At 37.2% G+C, this 20,064-nt stretch overlaps 1 long non-coding RNA gene across 1 annotated transcript; it reads left to right on the top strand.

The window, feature by feature from the left end:
- The first annotated feature begins 1,029 nt into the window (after positions 1-1,029).
- On the top strand, positions 1,030-14,267 carry LOC124901741 (uncharacterized). Its single transcript, XR_007060509.1, has 2 exons — positions 1,030-1,071; positions 14,112-14,267. It is a non-coding gene; the product is annotated as an uncharacterized LOC124901741 (long non-coding RNA).
- The last annotated feature ends 5,797 nt before the right edge of the window (positions 14,268-20,064 follow it).

Genomic DNA, 20,064 nt, shown 5'->3' on the forward strand with positions numbered 1-20,064 from the left:
TCAGGCTTAGACTGAAGTTCTTCATAGTATTGCAGAAAAAATATTGTTTTATATCTGTTTATTTTCATAGTCACTTTCTATTCGATTCAGCAAACATTAATTGCCTAAAATGTGCTAGACACTGCAAGGTTTGGAGATACAATGGCAGATATGACAGTCCCACAAACCAATGACTGACAAATTTAAAAGTGGCATTTAAACAGGCTTTTAGAACTCATTTAACAGGGAGTATTACAAGCATCTCTTGTAATTTCAAAGATGGCTATTAAGGAAATTAGTATAATAAGAAATGATGAAAATATCAATCAGGAAACCACCTTTCAGTTTTAGTCAACCGATTGCTAATTATTGACAATTCTCTCCCTGGAATAAATGCAAATTAGATCACCTCTTTCAGTAGGGCAACATAAAATTTGAGCTATAAAGCTCTTCAGTCCCTTTGACCTGCTAATTGTTACATCTAGGCAATTTTCCTATAATTCAGAAACAGTCAGTTGACTTAGCCTTATCAATAAAATTACTTATATTTAAAAAAAAACCAAAACTAGTTTAAAGATCAGTGGTTTTAATTTTCATATTGTGGCATTGCATTGACCCTGTACCATCCTACTCAGGAATTAATATTTATTGTATGATAAGTTTGTAAGCAGAATCCATAGACAATTCAAACATATTACATAATGTAAGTTGCATGATATTGGTCTACACTTAATGAACTTCTTGTGAAATATAACCTCTTGATTATGCAACATTAGATCTTAACTTCTTATTCAATGATCTATTTCAATGAAATATCACAATTCACTTGGTATCACTTTTGTTCCCACAATTACACTGCAAATATAAATTACAGTTTCACAATTTTGATTGTCTGCCATTGTTAATATCTTGCAACTTTGGTTTAGTATTGTGATCTACTAGAGTCATACAGTCTTTGTTTTTTAGACAGGGTCTTGCTGTGTTGTCCAGGTTTGATGGAGTGCGGTGGTGCAATCCTGGCTCACTATAACCTCTACCTCCTGGGCTCAAGGGATAGTCTCATCTTAGTTTCCTGAGTAGCTGGGACTACAGGTATGTGCCAACAAGCCTGTCTAATTTTCTTTTTAAAATTTTTTGTAGAGACAAGGTCTTTCATTATGTTTCCCAGGCTGGTCTCAAACTCCTGGCCTCAAACAATTTGCCTCCTTTGGTCTCCCAAAGTGCTAGCCTTCTTATTTCATAATTAATTCATACACTGAACAAATAATAATTAGGACATATTATATACCAAAATCATATGTGGATATTGAGATAATAGGTGGATATTGGGATGTAGAGTTTTCATTAGAGAGGAGAAGACAAACTAAATAACTGGATAAATAAGGTAATTGCAGATTTCGATACCTATTTTAAAGGAAAGAACTAAAAGATGAGAGAATAAGTACCCAAGGTAGCCACTAGGATGTCAGGGAAGGCCTCTGATATGGCTTGACTCTGTGTCCCCACGCAAATCTTATCTTGACTTGTAATCCTCACATGTCGAGGAGGGACCTGGTGGGAGGGTATTGGATCATAGGGGCAGTTGCCCCCATGCTGTTCTTGTGATAGTGAGTTCTCACAAAATCTGATGTTTCAAAAGTGGCACTTCCCACTTCACTTGCTCTCTCTCTCTCTCGCCACCATGTAAGACGTGCCTTGCTTCCTCTTCACCTTCTGCCATGACTGTAAGTTTCCTGAATCCTCCCTAGCCATGTGGTGCTGTGAGTCAATTAAAAATCTTTTCTTTATAAACTGCCCAGTCTTAGATAGTTCTTTATAGCAGTGTGAAAATGAACTAATACAGCCTTTGGAAATTCATGGTTGACCACAGACCAGGAGTTTGAGAATAAATGGGCTCTACAGTGAGATAATAATTATTGGGAAGAGTAGTCTAGGCAGAGATAATAAATATTAAGGAAAGAAAAGCAGCTTGTCTTTTTCTGGGAAAAAGATGAGACTAAATGACATATCTAGAGACACACGATTCTTGTTAGAAGTCATAGGCCTCACTCTTTGTGTTATGTGGTCTAACACATTTGATAGAACATAAGAGGAACTCCTCATTCATTCACTTCTTTATTTAATATACTCCACTTGAAATATAAAAATCAGAACAGCAAAATCACCACCTTGACATCTGGTATTTTCAGTAGTTAAATTGATTATTAAAAAGTTTACCATCTTATTATTTGCTTGATATTAAAACATTTTCTTCTCAAAGAATAAGACACAAAATGAAATATGTAGTTTTTGAATAGTATTTTTCCTGGGTTCTAAGAAGATTCCAATGGCCAACAGGTCATCAACTTCAACTTTAAAAAATATTAATGTATAAATTTGCCATTATACTAGATATTTTGCTTTTCTTGGTTCTAGCTGAGGTAAGACCCCCAGAGGTAAACATCTGAGACAACCTGGGCCAATCGGATTTTATTTTATTTTTCTGGGAATTTGGAGTAAGAAGCCTGGGGGATCAAGCCTTTTACAATGAGGATGGAAGCTTAAACTGAATGATTTAGTAGCGTAGGGTCAGAGCCATTGTATGGCAAAGCAACAAGCTAACTGAAATTTTTTTTGGGCATCTTAGAAACCAGAAATAGGAAAGCCAATTTATAGAAAGAAGCAAGAAAATAGAGCAAATATACAGAGAAGCAACAATAAGATGGTGTGGCTTATTGGGAAATAGAGCAGTATTCTGCCAGACATCCCAATTCTTATGTGCGGGATCACTTTTAGACCTAGGCAAGTCAAGCAAGTTCTCCCCTAAGTCCTTTAAAGTGCGTGCAGACACACACACACATATATGTATATGTATGTATATATATGTATATATCACAAATCACACAGGAAAATCACAAACACACACATATCACAAACTCACATGTGAAAATCAATTACTAAAGATAAAGAACACAGGGGTACCTTTGTCATTTGGAAGCCAGTACTCCATGCTGGCACAGCAAGACCCTGAACTCTGAACATCCACTCTTGTGGCTAACATGATTCAGTCATAAGGGAAATGCTTCTTCATGTCTTTTGCCCTGTGTTCATGAAATAAAGGCAGCAGGGTCCAGCTGAAGTTGTGCCTTTTTGATGTCAGAGATGGGCATTGCTTGAGTGCAGGGTGAATTTGGTTAAGTACAAGCTTTTGGTTTAGGTAAAAGACTAACTTACTAGTGAAATGTTTTCTTTTGATTTAGTGCAATCAATCTTGCACGATAAAATGTGATTTTTCAGTAGTGCAGAATGTATACTTTCTTGTTTCTCTTTAATACTCCAATTTGGATTTCAGAGGTATTCACAAATTGGCATAGTATTTGCAACCATTGTGCATGGTGGAAAAGGATCATTTTGCAATATTAAACAATTCATATTATTTATAAATCTGTAAAATGTGAGTTGTAACACGATGCTACAGATTCTTTATGTAACAGAGAGGTCCTAGATATTGTTTTCAGAGAAGGTGAATATAGAAATATAAATTTTAAGGATAGATATTTATAAAATCAATATACTTTACAATATTTTCTGTAGGATGATAGTTTCCGTATGCAATTCCATTAAATTATAAATTATGGCATATAAAATTCTTGCTGCTGCTGCTTCTTTTTTTTTTGATGTGGAGTCTTGCTCTGTTGCCCAGGCTGGAGTACAGTGGCATGATCTTGGCTCACTCCAACCTCCACCTCCTGGGTTCAAGTGAGTCCTGTGCCTCAACCTCCCAAGTAGCTGGGATTATAGGCACGTGCCACCACACCCAGCTAATTTTTGTATTTTCAGTACAGACGGTGTTTCACCATGTTGACCAGGCTGGTCTTGAACTCCTGAAAGTGATCCGCCTGCCTTGGCCTCCCAAAATGCTGGGATTACAGGCATAAGCCACCCTGCCCGGCCTGTGTCATTTTTTTTCTTGCAGCTCCAGCTCAAAGGATCTTGCTTCATTTTTGAGTTGTTGACACGTCCTATGGCCACTGCCTCATAAGAATAAAGTTTCTCCAAACTGAAATATACAAATATATTATTTAATAACTACAGCAACTTAAGAGATGTTGGTTAAATTAGCATTCATATTGATAAAACACAGACTAAATGAACATTTTTACTATAATTACATATCAGTAATTTTGCTAAAATGGAAACAGGAATAAATTTTGTGAAATAAATATTTATGCTTACATATGTCTATTTCATTAGTCATCCAAACATGAATAGCCTATCAGCCAAATACCCAGATATGTACAATAATAATTTATCTGTGATATTTTGCCAACTTTCAAACATAAAAAACCGTAGGTTTACATTTTTAAAATGTTGTTTTCAGTTTGTCAATTAGGAGGACGGAATATATTTTATTTAACAATTTGGTATCTTGAGATTTATCATTTTTAAATATTTTGTCATATGGTATGTTTTTTCCTATTGTAGTGTTGTGCCGTGCGCCAGAGATATTGGGGTGGGTCTACTTCTGTGAGCTGCTTTTACTTTGTTTTCTGGTTGACAACCCTGTTATTTCATTTCTATGAGATTCCATTTTTTAATTTAATTAATTAATTAATTAACTAATTAATTTTTGAGACGGAGTCTCGCTCTGTCGCCCAGCTGGAGTGCAGTGGCGCGATCTCGGCTCACTGCAAGCTCTGCCTCCTGGGTTCACGGAATTCTCCTGCCTCAGCCTCCCGAGTAGCTGGGATTACAGGCGCCCGCCACCACATCCGGCTAATTTTTTGTATTTTTAGTAGAGACGGGGTTTCACCCTGTTAGTCAGGATCGTCTCCATCTCCTGACCTCGTGATCCGCCCGCCTTGGCTTCCCAAAGTGCTGGGATTACAGGCGTGAGCCACGGCACCTGGCCCTATGAGATTCTATTGTAGCCTTTTAACCACACCCTATTTTTCACTTGGGCTAATTTGAGTTAATTTCTGGGGTTTTTTTTTGTACTAAAAAATCTTATCTAAGAAAATAATAGAGGTATATATTATTTCCCATGTAGATGAAAAATAAATGAATTCCCATTTGAATTAAAAATAATATAAAGCATAATCTACCAAATTCTGATTGTCTATATCTTGAGCCATTTTAGAAATGAGTACTTTTGAATGTGACTAATTTAGATCCTTCTAAATTCATCAGTACTTTTGGTTCTCTGAAGATTTGGACTGCTTTTGAGTGTACTTGTAGGAATGGAAGAAGCACAACAACAACAACAAAATATTTTACTTTCACTGACAAGAATCATATTTCTGGCCTTTAATGTCATGAATTAAGCTCTGCCATTTTAGTAGAAGAAAACACAGTAGGCTTGATATATTAAGTATATAAAGGAACAAAGTGATGCTAATGGTATTTGACTAGCACCTGAGACAGAAAATTAAACATTAATAGAAAAAACTTTAAGTGAAATATTAATGCTATTCAAAAAAGAAACCTCAACTTTTAAAAAAATGTAAGCACTAATTTCAAGGTGAAAATCGAAGAAAAATATCTCATTTATTTATTTTCCTGGTGTAAACCAGATTATTCACTCTTTGGAAAATGTTTTTAAATTTAGAGTCAGAGAATTCTTAGATCTGAAAGGCCTTTATACGATTCTCTAAGTTCACCCCCTCATCTTATAGATGAGAAAATTGAGGCCTAGGCTGTTATACTGATTTGTAAAGCCTCACAGACCGTAAATGGCAGCTTAAAGTACCCTCGTATTTGACTTATTTATCCAGTGTTCTTTCCCCGAAGAATACTCTGTAATTTCTTTAAATGAAATCAAATCTAAAAAGGAGGAGATTATAATATAGAAGAAAGAGAGTTAATAACCAATTTTAGGATCTATGTCTGACCTTGTTATTCATGAGGGCATTACTCTAAGAGAAAGATTAAACAAAGATATCTGGCATTAAATGCAGATTGAAACATACTTTAATTCCACCTAACTGTATGCATTCATTCAGATGTGACATAGATATTCAGATCCTGTTGCTTTTTGCCTGAATGTGCTGAGTCAACCTTGTAATGAAAAAGGGATGAGTTTTTTTTTTTTTTTTGAGATGGAGTCTCGCTGTGTCACCCAGGCTGGAGTGCAATGGCGCGATCTCGGATCTTGGCTCACTGCAACTTCCGCCTCCCGGGTTCAAGCAATTGTCCTGCCTCAGTCTCCTGAGTAGCTGGGATTACAGCCATGCCCCATCATGCCCAGCTAATTTTTGTATTTTTAGTGGAGACGGGGTTTCACCATGTTGGCCAAGCAGGTCTTGAACTCCTGACCTCAGGTGATCCTCCCACCTCAGCCTCCCAAAGTGCTAGGATTACAGGCGTGAGCCACCGCGCCTGGCCAGGGACGAGATTTTTGAAGTTCTATTAAGTTCTATTTTCATGTGGTGTACTATTTCAACCTTTCTTTACTCTTCCTTCTCAGGAGAGTTAACCATTTTTCTGAACTGTTTGATCATTTCCTTCTCTCCAAGATGAATCCTTGCACTTATGCCTTGAAACTCATCCACTTCTGTCTCTTCAAAGACTTTACTTTTTTATACTTTCTACTTGTTTTTCTCTAGAACAAGGGTCCCCAGCCCCCAGGCCACAAACCAGTAGCGGTCAGTGGCCTGTTAGGAACCAGGCCGCACAGCAGGAGGTGAGCGGCAGGTGAGTGAGCATTACTGAGCATTCCCACCTGAGCTCTGCCTCCTGTCAGATCAGCAGGCATTAGATTCTCAAAGGAGTGTGAACCCTAATGTGAACTGTGCACGCAAGGGATCTAGGGTACGTGCTCCTTAGGAGAATTCAACTAATGGCTGATGATCTGAGGCAGAACAGTTTCATACCCAAACTACCCTCTCCCACACATCCCCTGTCCATGAAAAAATTGTCTTCCACAAAACCAGTCCCTGGTACCAAAAAGGTTGGGGACCACTGCTCTAGAAGGTTCCATCAACATGTAAATGTGCCAAAGTTTCTCCTGTCTTTAAGTGCAGGCAAGCAACCCATCTCCTCTATCCCACCAAGTGGATATTTCCTTCCACCCATCCTCATTTTCTCTTTCCCCTCAAGACCAAGCTATTGTAAAGGTAAGTGTCCAATTCTCCACTTGCTCACTCCCCACGCATCCTTTAAGGCTTTTCATCTCAACTTGGTCCTCCCTTACTCACCTAACTCTAACCCCTTGTCCCAAATTCCTTCATAGAAATTGTTTTCTGCAAAGGTAGCACTGGCTGCTTAATTGCTAAATCCAAAGGATACTTTTTAGTTCTTACCTTTCTTGATCTATAGAATATCTGGAAATGTTACATCTGGGAAAAAAACCTACATCATTGATTCTAGCCTCCTCAAATGACAGATGTGAAAACTGGAGACCAGAGAATCAAATCACTTTTTTTTTCCTCAATCACGCTCAGCAGTGTTTCCATAGTCAATGGAAAGAAATCAAATGTCATTTTGGCAAAAAATTATGCACTGTTCACCAGGCCATTTCTCTACCAAGATAAATAAATCAAAATTCATGATACCGAAAGTGCAAGGTTTTCAATAAGAGGTTAAAATAAAAATGACTTGTGTTTCGCATGTCTCAAGAGCCTTATTCATGAACTTCATGGTAGCCAGTTCTTAAAAAAAAAGTGAGTCAGTAATTCTAGAATTTTAAAATTGTTCATTTAACTAAGGAGAATAGATACTAAAGAGCCAAGAAAGTCTTGGCAGAAGTAAAATCCCTCTGAGTATTGATGAAATTTTTAATTGGGTGATGCTGATACATATCTGCATTGGACGTGTGGATTTTAATTATTTGCTTGGTAAAGACGTAAAAGATGCCTCTTGTTACAGATGTGATCTGTCAGCCATCCAGATAGATTTCCACTAGAAGAGGAAGAAGCTGTCTTCTCTGCTTCCTTCCTCCCTGCTCGCAAAGTAGAGATGCTATCTATAACCTTTTATGCTGGCCAGCCTGGAGCTCTTCCTGTTAAAACTCATGTACTTTAAAGTTCCACACTCATCTGGTATTTCTCAGCCTCAGTAATTAGGTCAGTGTTTAAATATAGAGCCACACATTATTTAAAATGTTGAGAAGCTTTGGAGCAATGTCAAGCTTCATCTCCATAAAGTGTTCTTACTAGTTTTTATTAACACTGTTTGGATATTATCATTTTAAATTTTCTCAGTGCTTGTATATTCAATTTGTACAATATATATGTCTGCTCATATGTTATCTCGGAGTCTTGGAGCTATTTTTTCTTTATTTCCAGGTATGTTTCTTTGACCATTTTAGCTGATCATTTTTCTGAAGAATTTCGAGTCCTTCCAACTAGATTAATGAATGTGGGTAATGTACTTAGCTTTTCTAAATTTTTTTTTTTTTAATTTTTGAGACAGAATCTCACTCTGCCACTTAGGCTGGACTGCAGTGGTGCAATCTCGGCTCAATGCAACCTCTGCCTCCTGGGTTCAAGCAATTCTCGTGCCTCAGCCCCCTGAGTAGCTGGAATTGGAGGCATGCACCACCACATCTGGCTAATTTTTTCTTTTTTTTTGTATTTTTAGTAGAGACGGGGTTTTGCCATGTTGGCCAGGCTGGTCTCAAACTCCTGACCTCAAGTGATCTGTCCGCCTTGTCCTCCCAAAGTGCTGCGATTACAGACATGAGCCACTGTGCCCAGCCCTAAATTCTTAATGTCCTCATCTCTGCAATGGGAATACTCCCATTACCTGCCTCACAGAATTGTCCTGAGGATTGTATGTTCTCAGCATATTTCTTGGCACATGGCAGGAATCAAGCACATATTGACCTTCCAAACTCCTTCATTTCTTTTCTTTCTTGCCTTTCTCTCTCACAGCACCTATAGCTGAATCGCCTTTGGTAGATGCATCTTTCTACCCAATTCTCATTGAGTGAATCGATGTTACAATGGGCAGATTAAAGTGGAGACTTGTTTTGCATGGTAACATTGAAAACTGTGTATGTGACTTGGGAGGAATTGTTGTTCATGGGTCAGCTGACTAGTTATATTATGCAGTCTTTCAGATAACACAATGAATTATTAATCCACATTAGAGAGTTGAAGGCTGGAGCCCTGGATTCCTGCCCAGAGAACGACTCTGACACATTATAGGCATATGGTTGCCTGGCTGGAACAATGACTTTTTGTACACGTGCCAAAGGAAACTTTACGATGCCTGTTGACATTCTGTCCTTTCTTTGTTTCTCCATTATTGGATGACTTTGCTGCTCTATTCTTTTTTTTTTTTTTCCTTTTCTGTTTGGATACATTTTATCCTAACTTATGCCCAATAAAACATTACTGAGAACATGAACAAGATAAAGGAGCTAGTATGTCTTGTTAGTTAGTTTCATTATGTGTTGAAGCTAAAGCCTTCAAAGGACTGTGTATGATTAGGGCTTCACAACTATTTATTTAAAGCCTTATTTTGTCTCTGTTCATGTTTATAGAATATGAAATACTCAGTAAGGCAGACTTAGTACATATATGAAGTCTGTGTAATCTCAGGGCTTCAGGAAGACTCTACCTGTTCTCCCATACAACAAATTCTGCCACTCAGCTGCTGCAGGACTGCCTTCCACATATACATGGTTTGAATTTCCTAATTCTGAAATTCTCAGTGGGTTGTATCAATGATAAGTATTTGTATCTTTAGTGCTGCCTGAGTTCAAGACATGATGATATAGTTTGGCTATGTCCCCACCCAAATCTCCATGTGAATTGTTTCTCCCAGAATTCCCACATGTTGTGGGAGGGAGAAGATGGGGGGTGGGGCAGTAATTGAATCATGGGGTCCAGTCCTTCCCCTGCTGTTCTCGTGATAGTGAATAAGTCTCACGAGATCTGATGGGTTTATCAGGGGTTTCCGCTTTTGCTTCTTCCTCATGCTTTTAATCTTGGTGCCATCATGTAAGAAGTGCCTTTCACCTCTCACCATGATTCTGAGGCCTCCCCAGAGATGTGGAACTGTAAGTCCAATTAAACCTCTCTTTCTTCTCAGTCTCAAGTATGTCTTTATCAGCAGCATGAAAATGGACTAATACACATGATTAGTGATCTAATTTTAGGATCAAAGGTTAGAAAGCTGCATTAATCTTCTCAAATATGCCTATATATTAATATGTTTGTTAAAATCGATGATACTTTTTCAGAAAATATTTTCTATTAAGTAAAGTAGGCAACAGGATTTAAGTTATAAGAGTATACCTATTGACCATTAAAGTGAATTCAGGTATTTTCAGACTAAATGAAAAAATAAAAGGACCTTGTAAATGTTTTTTTTTGTTTTTTTTTTCCCGAAATAATCCCATATGCTGTTTGCTAGCCATGGAGTTAAAATGATAACAGGTTGGGTATTACTCTAGGAAAGCCACAGTAGAACCACATACAGATGGGACAGTTGATTTAGGTTCCTTCCTGAGCACATTAGCTTGATAAATGGATCAGATTTGTGAGCTACCACTTTAGACGAATAGAGGATCAGGTAAAAGGGAGCTTCAGTGGGGAAGGAGTGATCCTAGGAAGGAGGATCATAGCAGAGAAGGGTTTAGGTGGTAAGGACCTGGGAGGGGTAACTGGAAGGTAGCAGAAATGAACGAGACTGATTTTACTTAGTCACAGTTATACGAAGGGCATGGACCCCTGCAACAGAGAAGTCCCAGCTGCTAGAAATTGGCAGTTGGTGGTATACTAGCATAGCAGGAAGGAAACTTATCTGGGAGGCAGGAATTATGGTTTGATCTGGGCTCTGCATTAATCAATTTGTGGTTTTGAATAATCTATGATTTCAGATAAGCCCTCATTTCATCAGTTATGAAATAATGGAGTCATACCATTTAAACCATCTGTTGTACCAGTAACATTATGATTCTAAGATTAGCTAATTCTTGTACTATCTTCCCTGTGTGTAATGGGAACATTTCTCAAGTCCCTAGGTAGAGCTGAGAAAAATATACATTGTTGTCTTCTGAAAATTATCAAATTTACTTTCAACTTCTGACTTTGTGTTTTCAAGTTAACTAGTACTTCTATGCCTATTTGCTTCTCTACTTTTTCATTGATGAGAAATGATTTGACAGCATTACACATCGTTTATAATTATTTTCAGAAACACACTAAAAATCTTTCAAACTGACATGTTCAATAATTTAAAAATGTCTAGCCAATATGTTTTTAAAAAGCCTGTTAACTCATTTTTACTGTGTATTACTTTATACTCAAAAAAATATAACTCCTGTTTTCACTAAAAGTATTGATAGAAAACAAGTGGCACAATATTATACAGGATATCTCAACATAATATCTTTAATATGTTTTTTCTTTCTTATGGTTATTAAATTGGTTGTACTTTCTGTTAGTTTGGTTTTTACCAACATTAAGAATTCATATGCAGTCATGTGTTACTTACTGACAGGGATATATTCTGAGAAACGTGTCCTTCGGTGATTTAGTCATAGTGTGAACATCATAGAGTGCACTTAGACTCAGATGGTGTAGCCTACTACATACCTAAGCTATATGGTGTAGCCTATTATGCTTAGACTAAAAATCTGTGTAGCATGTTACTGTACTGAGTACCATAGGCAACTGTAACACAATGGTAGGTACTTATGTCTCTAAACATATCTAAATATAGAAAAGGGACAGTAAAAATATGGCATAAGTGATAAAATAATGGTACACCTCTATAGGGGACTTACCATAAACTGAGATTGCAGGACTGGAAGTTGCTCTGGGTGAGTCAGTGAGTGAGTGGTGAATGAATGTGAAGGCATAGGATATTACTGTACACTACTCTAGAGTTTACAAACTGTATACTTAGGCTACACTAAATTTATAAAAAATATGTTTTCAATAATAAGCTTAGCTTACTATAAATTTTTACTTCATAAGATTTTTAATTTTTAAAACTTTTTTGGTCTTTTGTAATAATATTTAGTTTAAAACACATTTTTCTTTACATTTTCTTTAATACTTATTCTGTAAGCTTTCTCTATTTTTAATTTTTTTATTTTTATTTTTTACTTTGTAAACTAGTTTTGTTTAAAACTAAGACACAGAGACAATACATTAGCCTAGTGTATTGTCTCTGTGTCTTAGTCATCACATCAGAATCATCAATACTCTCTTCCACCTCCACATCTTGTCCCACTGGAAAATCTTCAGGGGCAGTAACATCCATGGAGCTGTCATCCCCTATGATAACAATGCCTTCTGTAATACCTCCTGAAGGACCTGCCTGAGGTTACTTTACAGTTAACTTTTTTTTTTTTAAGTAGAAGGAGTACATTCTAAAATTACAATAAAAAGTATAGTATAGAAAATACAGAAACCCATAACTCAGTCATTTATCATCAGTATCAACTATTATGTGCTGTACATAATTATATGTGCTATACTTTTATATGACTGGCAGCACAGTATTTGTTTATACTAGCATTACCACAAACATGTGAGTAATGGGTTGCAATGGCTATGATGTTACGAGATGATAGGAATTTTTCAATTTCATTATCATCTTATGAAACCACCATTGTACATGCAATCCATCATTGACAGAAACATCATTGTGCAGTGCATGACTGTACAATCCCCTGGCTGCTCATGTAATATGATTCCACATTAAAAATTACCCCTAAATGGAATAAAAAATTTCAGAGCACACATCACCTTAGTGATGAGATGTATTATTAAGCAGGTAATTGAATCAAAAGAGATTTGAAATAGATACAGAAATCTACACAAAATGAGCATATGGAAGATGCTAGAGAAAAAATTCTATAGTTTCCTAGACAGGAAGAAATACCAGCAGCTGGCTATGCTGTTGGCACAGATGGAAAGAAATGACATATATACTAATAGACAAAAATATTTAAGGCATCAAAAATTCCAATAAATTAGCGAAACTTATAGCTTATCATCTAAATCTGGTTAGAAATTTTACAGAGAATTAAGAGAGAAAATACAAAAGACATTGGTCATAAAGAGTTCCAGAGCCATTTAGCCAAATGTTCAGACCCCATAGAAGATATTTCCTCTGGCCACACTTCTGAACGTAAATAATATTTGAGGTTTTCCACTGAAATTGAGCTCTATCAAGGGAATGTGAGTGAGAGTAGGTCAGAGTTCTTAGGAGTTCAGCCTTTTTCCTCTCTGTAGAATTAAGAAAAAAAGAAATTGCAAGTGACCTGAAATTCAATGAGACAATGTAACAGTTTCAGTGAAAAAGTTCATCTGATTCACAATGGGAAAAAAACTGAAATGAGGTTTTTGCTGAAATAAGTAACATTTATAACCAAAAAAGATTTTTTAAAAAAAAGCAAGAAAGGAAAACAGTGTAAGTAATTCTAAGAAAACAAGATGCAGCCAGAAAATCATGGTAATTCTTTGTATGTTTCTCCTCAAGATTAGGAAATTGTATTACAGCTAAAAAAAAAGGTGACCAAGAAGGACTGTTGGAAAGTGTTGAGGCATCTAAATTGCTTAAGTTTCTGCTTCTTTCATGACCCAGGATTTTGCAGCCTGGAAGGCAAGTGGAGAGGAATAGGGAGCCAGTTAGCTCAGCTGGCATTCATCTTTAGAAACAAAATGATAATGAGAAGCCACAATTATTTTGAACCGCTTTTAATCTAGACTCCTCCTGGATCAGATTATAGGACTTTATGTGTCTGGATAAGCCACTTCCAACGTGTTTAGTAATCATGGATTAGAGCTTGAGAGATTTAAAAACAAAACATAACAAAAATTTCAACAGTCTATTTAACATAATGAGGTTGTATGCAAAAGAAGTTTTAAAATAATCTTTTAGAGTAACTTAAATGCTACCCTAGTAAGTAAAGGAGGTGAGATTTAAACCAGGTGTTTTGACTTTAAAGGAAACATTCATTACATTGCTACCTTTTACTGACTGCATTGGCCTCAATGTCCCCCAAATTCATGTGTTGAAACTATATCCACATTGTGGTGGTATTAAGAGGTGAGGCTGTTTGGAAAGTGAATAAGTCAGGAGGACTTCATGATTGGATTAGTGCTTTATTAAAGGGCTGGAGGGTACTAGTTTATGCTCTTTTTTCTTATGTTAAATTTTTTTTGCCCTTCTGCCTTACACCATGTGAGGACACAACATTTGTCTCCTCCAGAAGATGCAGCAACAAGGTATCATCTTGGAAGCAGAGACAGGGCCTTCACCAGACACCAAACCCAAAGATCCCTTCATCTTGGACTTTCAGCCTCCAGAACTGTGAGAAATAAATTCCTATTCTTTTAAAATTACCCAGTCTCAGGTGTTTTGTTGTATCAACACAAATGAACAGGCCCAGACTGCGCAATGTCTGAAGATCTTCATTTCACCCTGCTAGTAACAACCATCCTGTTACGTTTGCACTTCTTTGCAATTCACCCCACTTGAGTTCTGTCCTTCCGTGAAAACTTATCTTGCTTTTTGGTTCATCTGTATTCATAGACTTTCATCTGCTTTCTTTTTATCTCTGACCCATAAGATGGATGAAAATTGTCCTAAAGATCCTTTCTGCTGTGTGTGTCAGGGCCCCTCTACCTTCAGCTGGGGTGGAGGGACTTTTGTCTTTACATGGGAAAAAATACTTTAATTGCTGGTTAAAACACATTTTCTGCCATATTCCCTTTATGGAACCTAAAAAGCCTAAAGCGTATGGCCACTTACACCTCCAAGCTGTTATTTTAAGGCAAAAACTAAAACATTAAGGACAGATGAAAGATTAGCAATGACTAAAGTGAGAAAAAAGATAAATAAATGCTCCATGGATTAGGCCCATTTACACAACATGGCCCCAGAGTGTTTTACAATCAGATCTTTTCATAAAAAGAAAGAAAGATGATAAGAAATTTCCCAAGGGCCCAGGAAAACCTGACATTATTCCTCCCGCTAAACAAACAGATCTGTGCTAAGACAAGTCTCTTAAAGACCAATATCAAATATTTTATGCCCATGTTATTCAAAAGAGTTTGGGAACATGTAACATAATTAATGACTCTATGTTTTAAAAAAAAGTGCCTCCCACCGACAACATTCCTTCCTTAAAATCTAGTCCAGGGTTACTCCTCAAACCTCTCGAACTTCTACTCCTTCTAGGAGTCCTTCCTCACTTAACACACAGTCTATGTACTCCTTTCATATCAGCTTGTTCATCAAAAAATCCCTTAAGAGCCTAGTCCTGCTGAATCAACTTGTAGCTGGATATCCTGTAACCCACCTAAAATAAAAAACAAACTTCTCTCTCAGAAAGGTAACAAATAGACTAAATCCTCTTAGAAACTTACTTCGTTAGTTAGTTTGCCCCAGATATTAGGAAAAAGTCACAAAAACTAGCTATGTGTCCCAAAACCCTAATAAATTAACTATGAAATATAGCTTTTGAGGTCTTCAGTAACCAAGACAGAGTGAAAAAGTCACAGAGAAATCAAAGGGAAAAGAAGAGAGACAAAAGACGGGCCCAATTGTGGGCCCCTGCTATAAAAAGCCTCCCACCTTCAGATTATCCTGGGCAAAACCCAAGGGGCTATTGCCATATTTATTATATAAAAATCCTGGACACTGGAGCCAAATAAGTAACAAGGGCCTTCAGGCTTGTAAACCCTCTGGAGTCTATCAACAATGGGACAAAAAAGAACACTGAAAGAAAGAGTGTCGCCAACTCCAAAGCAAGGATGGGACTCTTAATTCCTTATTGTGCCTGGCCAAAGACTGAAGAAGCCCAAAGCAAACGATGGCTCTCATGCAGCAATCAGTCTCAATCACAGCAATGGAGCCTGGGGTGACCCTAGATGGGGCAGGTAAAGATATCAATTTCCTTTTAAACACAGGGGCCAGCATGTCAGTCCTCACTTTCTGCCCTGGGCCTCTGTCTGCCAAACACGACACTGTCTTCGATGTTAATAGCAAACCCCGAACTAGGATTTTCACTCCACCTCACAGCTGACCAACTTCTACTGTAGTAAAACATGGGAATATGGGGCTTTGGGTACATTTATCAAAAATTAATAATTCTCCCTTTTAAGTTGTCACAGAAACCCACAACACAGACTTCAAATTATTCCCTGAAGCACTCATGGATCTAAAGCTTCTGTCCAAAAAACAGCCGAAACCCAAAATATCAAACAATTAATATTGCCTCAGCATAAGCTTCTACTCGAAGACACAACTCACAGTGAGATCGCCTTAAAAGCTAAGTAATGTTTTATTTTTCTCTTATTTACTCATTATACACTAGGCACTCTTAGTAAAATGGCTTTATCTGCTAAAGAAATAATAAACTATACTACTAGCTTATTAAAATTAACCCAACCTTGCTGACTTTACATGACAACTGGAAGTTAAAAATATGCCAGATCTGTCCCTCAAGAAGACTGAGCCAACATTTCTATATTCCTCCTGGAACAAACCCATTGCCCATAAAATTAAAACATCTGGCCAAACAAACAATACAAAGAGATTTCCTTGGACCTGGCTATGGCCAGTTCAAACTTCTACTTTTAACTGTTAATAATAACTTCATTCTGCCAAAGAAAAAATTACTTTCTTACCTTCCCTTTTACCCAGAACAATTCCCCTTCTGCCTTTACAACAATCATGCCATTTCCACTACTTTCATAGAAAGACTCCAAGAGAGTCAATATAACTAAAGCTTTGACACTGGGTCATCTATACACCTTATGCTAAAACCTGAAAAGGGAAACCTTATTAAAAAATATATTAAAACCACCCAACTCTACCATCCTCTAATATACCCAGTGATGCCAAACTTCTATTACTTTTACCACTTTAATAAGAAATACTTTTACAGCACAAATTTCACCATCACAAAAAATTGGGGGGAGTTTATAAATCTTTGACATATCTACAATTTTCTCCACAATGAAAGAGACAATGCTCCATCACTTAAATTTTACCTTTTTTAATTTTCACACAGGCTAATGCATCTCTCCCTTTCCCCATATACCAACACCACAAGATCCACCTCCGAATAAAACCCCTTATTCCCTTAGATTTAGTGCTATCCTTATTCCCTTAGATTTAGTGCTATTTATAAGGCACTAAATAGATTTAGTGCTATTTAGTGCTTTATTAAAATGAACAAAGTCAGCCACGAGAGGTGGAGCCTTAAAATTCAACATAAACTGTCTCAAAAAACCACAGTGGTCCTCTGACAAATTACAAAGGGCTTCATTAGATTTCAACAACTAGACTCTCTGGCTACTGCAGTCTTAAAGAGCCTTACATCTTCTCACAGCCAGACAAGAAAAAACATGTTTGTGTCTAAAAAATAAAATACTTTTTTTACATTAATCAGTCCAGTTTGGTCCAAAGACATATTAAAAATATCATTATCCAAGCAGACAAAATTAAATCTTTAAAAACTTCCATAGACTTAAAAACAATAGCTGTTGTCTGCCCTGCTCCCTTTAGTAGTGTCAATTATTACCATACTTTTAGCTTTAATTTTTGGTCCAACTTTGTTTGAAATGCTAACTACTTTATTACTCTCTCACTCACAATTCCAAGTCCACATGATGGTTTTCCAAAGCTTCCAACCTTTGACTACTAATAGAACATCTCACATCTTGCCCACCAGTCCCACAGACAACATGGCTTACACCCCATTAGACAAGACAGAAAAAAAACTCTAGGGCCCAGGCTTGGCAGGGACAATGCCTCACTTAGTAGGAAACAACTAAAAAAAAAATGAGTAACAACCTAGCTCCTCAACCTCCTGTATGATTATGGGCCCTAAATTTCTGTTTCTTTTTTGTTTATTATTATTATTATTATTATACTTTAAGTTATAGGGTACATGTGCACAATGTGCAGGTTAGTTACATATGTATACATGTGCCATGCTGGTGTGTTGCACCCATTAACTCATCATTTAGCATTAGGTATATCTCCTAATGCTATCCCTCCCCACTCCCCTCACCCCACAACAGTCCCCAGAGTGTGATGTTCCCCTTCCTGTGTCCATGTGTTCTCATTGTTCAATTCCCATCTATGAGTGAGAACATGTGGTGTTTGGTTTTTTGTCCTTGCGATAGTTTACTGAGAATGATGATTTCCAATTTCATCCATGTCCCTACAAAGGACATGAACTCATCATTTTTTATGGCTGCATAGTATTCCATGGTGTATATGTACCACATTTTCTTAATCCAGTCTATCATTGTTGGACATTTGGGTTGGTTCCAAGTCTTTGCTATTGTGAATAGTGCCACAATAAACATACGTGTGCATGTGTCTTTATAGCAGCATGATTTATAGTCCTTTGGGTATATACCCAGTAATGGGATGGCTGGGTCAAATGGTATTTCTAGTTCTAGATCCCTGAGGAATCGCCACACTGACTTCCACAATGGTTGAACTAGTTCACAGTCCCACCAACAGTGTAAAAGTGTTCCTATTTCTCCACATCCTCTCCAGCACCTGTTGTTTCCTGACTTTTTAATGATTGCCATTCTAACTGGTGTGAGATGGTATCTCATTGTGGTTTTGATTTGCATTTCTCTGATGGCCAGTGATGATGAGCATTTTTTCATGTGTCTTTTGGCTGCATAAATGCCTTCTTTTGAGAAGTGTCTGTTCATATCCTTTGCCCACTTTTTGATGGGGTTGTTTGTTTTTTTCTTGTAAATTTGTTTGAGTTCATTGTAGATTCTGCATATTAGCCCTTTGTCAGATGAGTAGGTTGAGAAAATTTTCTCCCATTCTGTAGGTTGCCTGTTCACTCTGATGGTAGTTTCTTTTGCTGTGCAGAAGCTCTTTAGTTTAATTAGATCCCATTTGTCAATTTTGGCTTTTGTTGCCATTGCTTTTGGTGTTTTAGACATGAAGTCCTTGCCCATGCTTATGTCCTGAATGGTAATGCCTAGGTTTTCTTCTAGGGTTTTTATGGTTTTAGGTCTAATGTTTAAGTCTTTAATCCATCTTGAATTAATTTTTGTATAAGGTGTAAGGAAGGGATCCAGTTTCAACTTTCTCCATATGGCTAGCCAGTTTTCCCAGCACCATTTATTAAATAGGGAATCCTTTCCCCATTGCTTGTTTTTCTCAGGTTTGTCAAAGATCAGATAGTTGTAGATATGCGGCGTTATTTCTGAGGGCTCTGTTCTGTTCCACTGATCTATATCTCTGTTTTGGTACCAGTACCATGCTGTTTTGGTTACTGTAGCCTTGTAGTATAGTTTGAAGTCAGGTAGCGTGATCCCTCCAGCTTTGTTCTTTTGGCTTAGGATTGACTTGGCGATGCGGGCTCTTTTTTGGTGCCATATGAACTTTAAAGGAGTTTTTTCCAATTCTGTGAAGAAAGTCATTGGTAGCTTGATGGGGATGGCATTGAATCTATAAATTACCTTGGGCAGTATGGCCATTTTCATGATATTGATTCTTCCTACCCATGAGCATGGAATGTTCTTCCATTTGTTTGTATCCTCTTTTATTTCCTTGAGCAGTGGTTTGTAGTTCTCCTTGAAGAGGTCCTTCACATCCCTTGTAAGTTGGATTCCTAGGTATTTTATTCTCTTTGAAGCAATTGTGAATGGGAGTTCACTCAAGATTTGGCTGTTTGTCTGTTATTGGTGTATAAGAATGCTTGTGATTTTTGTACATTGATTTTGTATCCTGAGACTTTGCTGAAGTTGCTTATCAGCTTAAGGAGATTTTGGGCTTAGACGATGGGGTTTTCTAGATATATAATCATGTCGTCTGCAAACAGGGACAATTTGACTTCCTCTTTTCCTAATTGAACACCCTTTATTTCCTTTTCCTGCCTAATTGCCCTGGCCAGAACTTCCAACACTATGTTGAATAGGAGTGGTGAGAGAGGGCATCCCTGTCTTGTGCCAGTTTTCAAAGGGAATGCTTCCAGTTTTTGCCCATTCAGTATGATATTGGCTGTGGGTTTGTCATAGATAGCTCTTATTATTTTAAGAAATGTCCCATCAATACCTAATTTATTGAGAGTTTTTACAATGAAGCGTTGTTGAATTTTGTCAAAGGCCTTTTCTGCATCTATTGAGATAATCATGTGGTTTTTGACTTTGG

Source organism: Homo sapiens, chromosome 7 (genome assembly GCF_000001405.40).
Source record: "Homo sapiens chromosome 7, GRCh38.p14 Primary Assembly".
In the NCBI taxonomy this organism is placed as follows: Eukaryota; Metazoa; Chordata; class Mammalia; order Primates; family Hominidae; genus Homo; species Homo sapiens.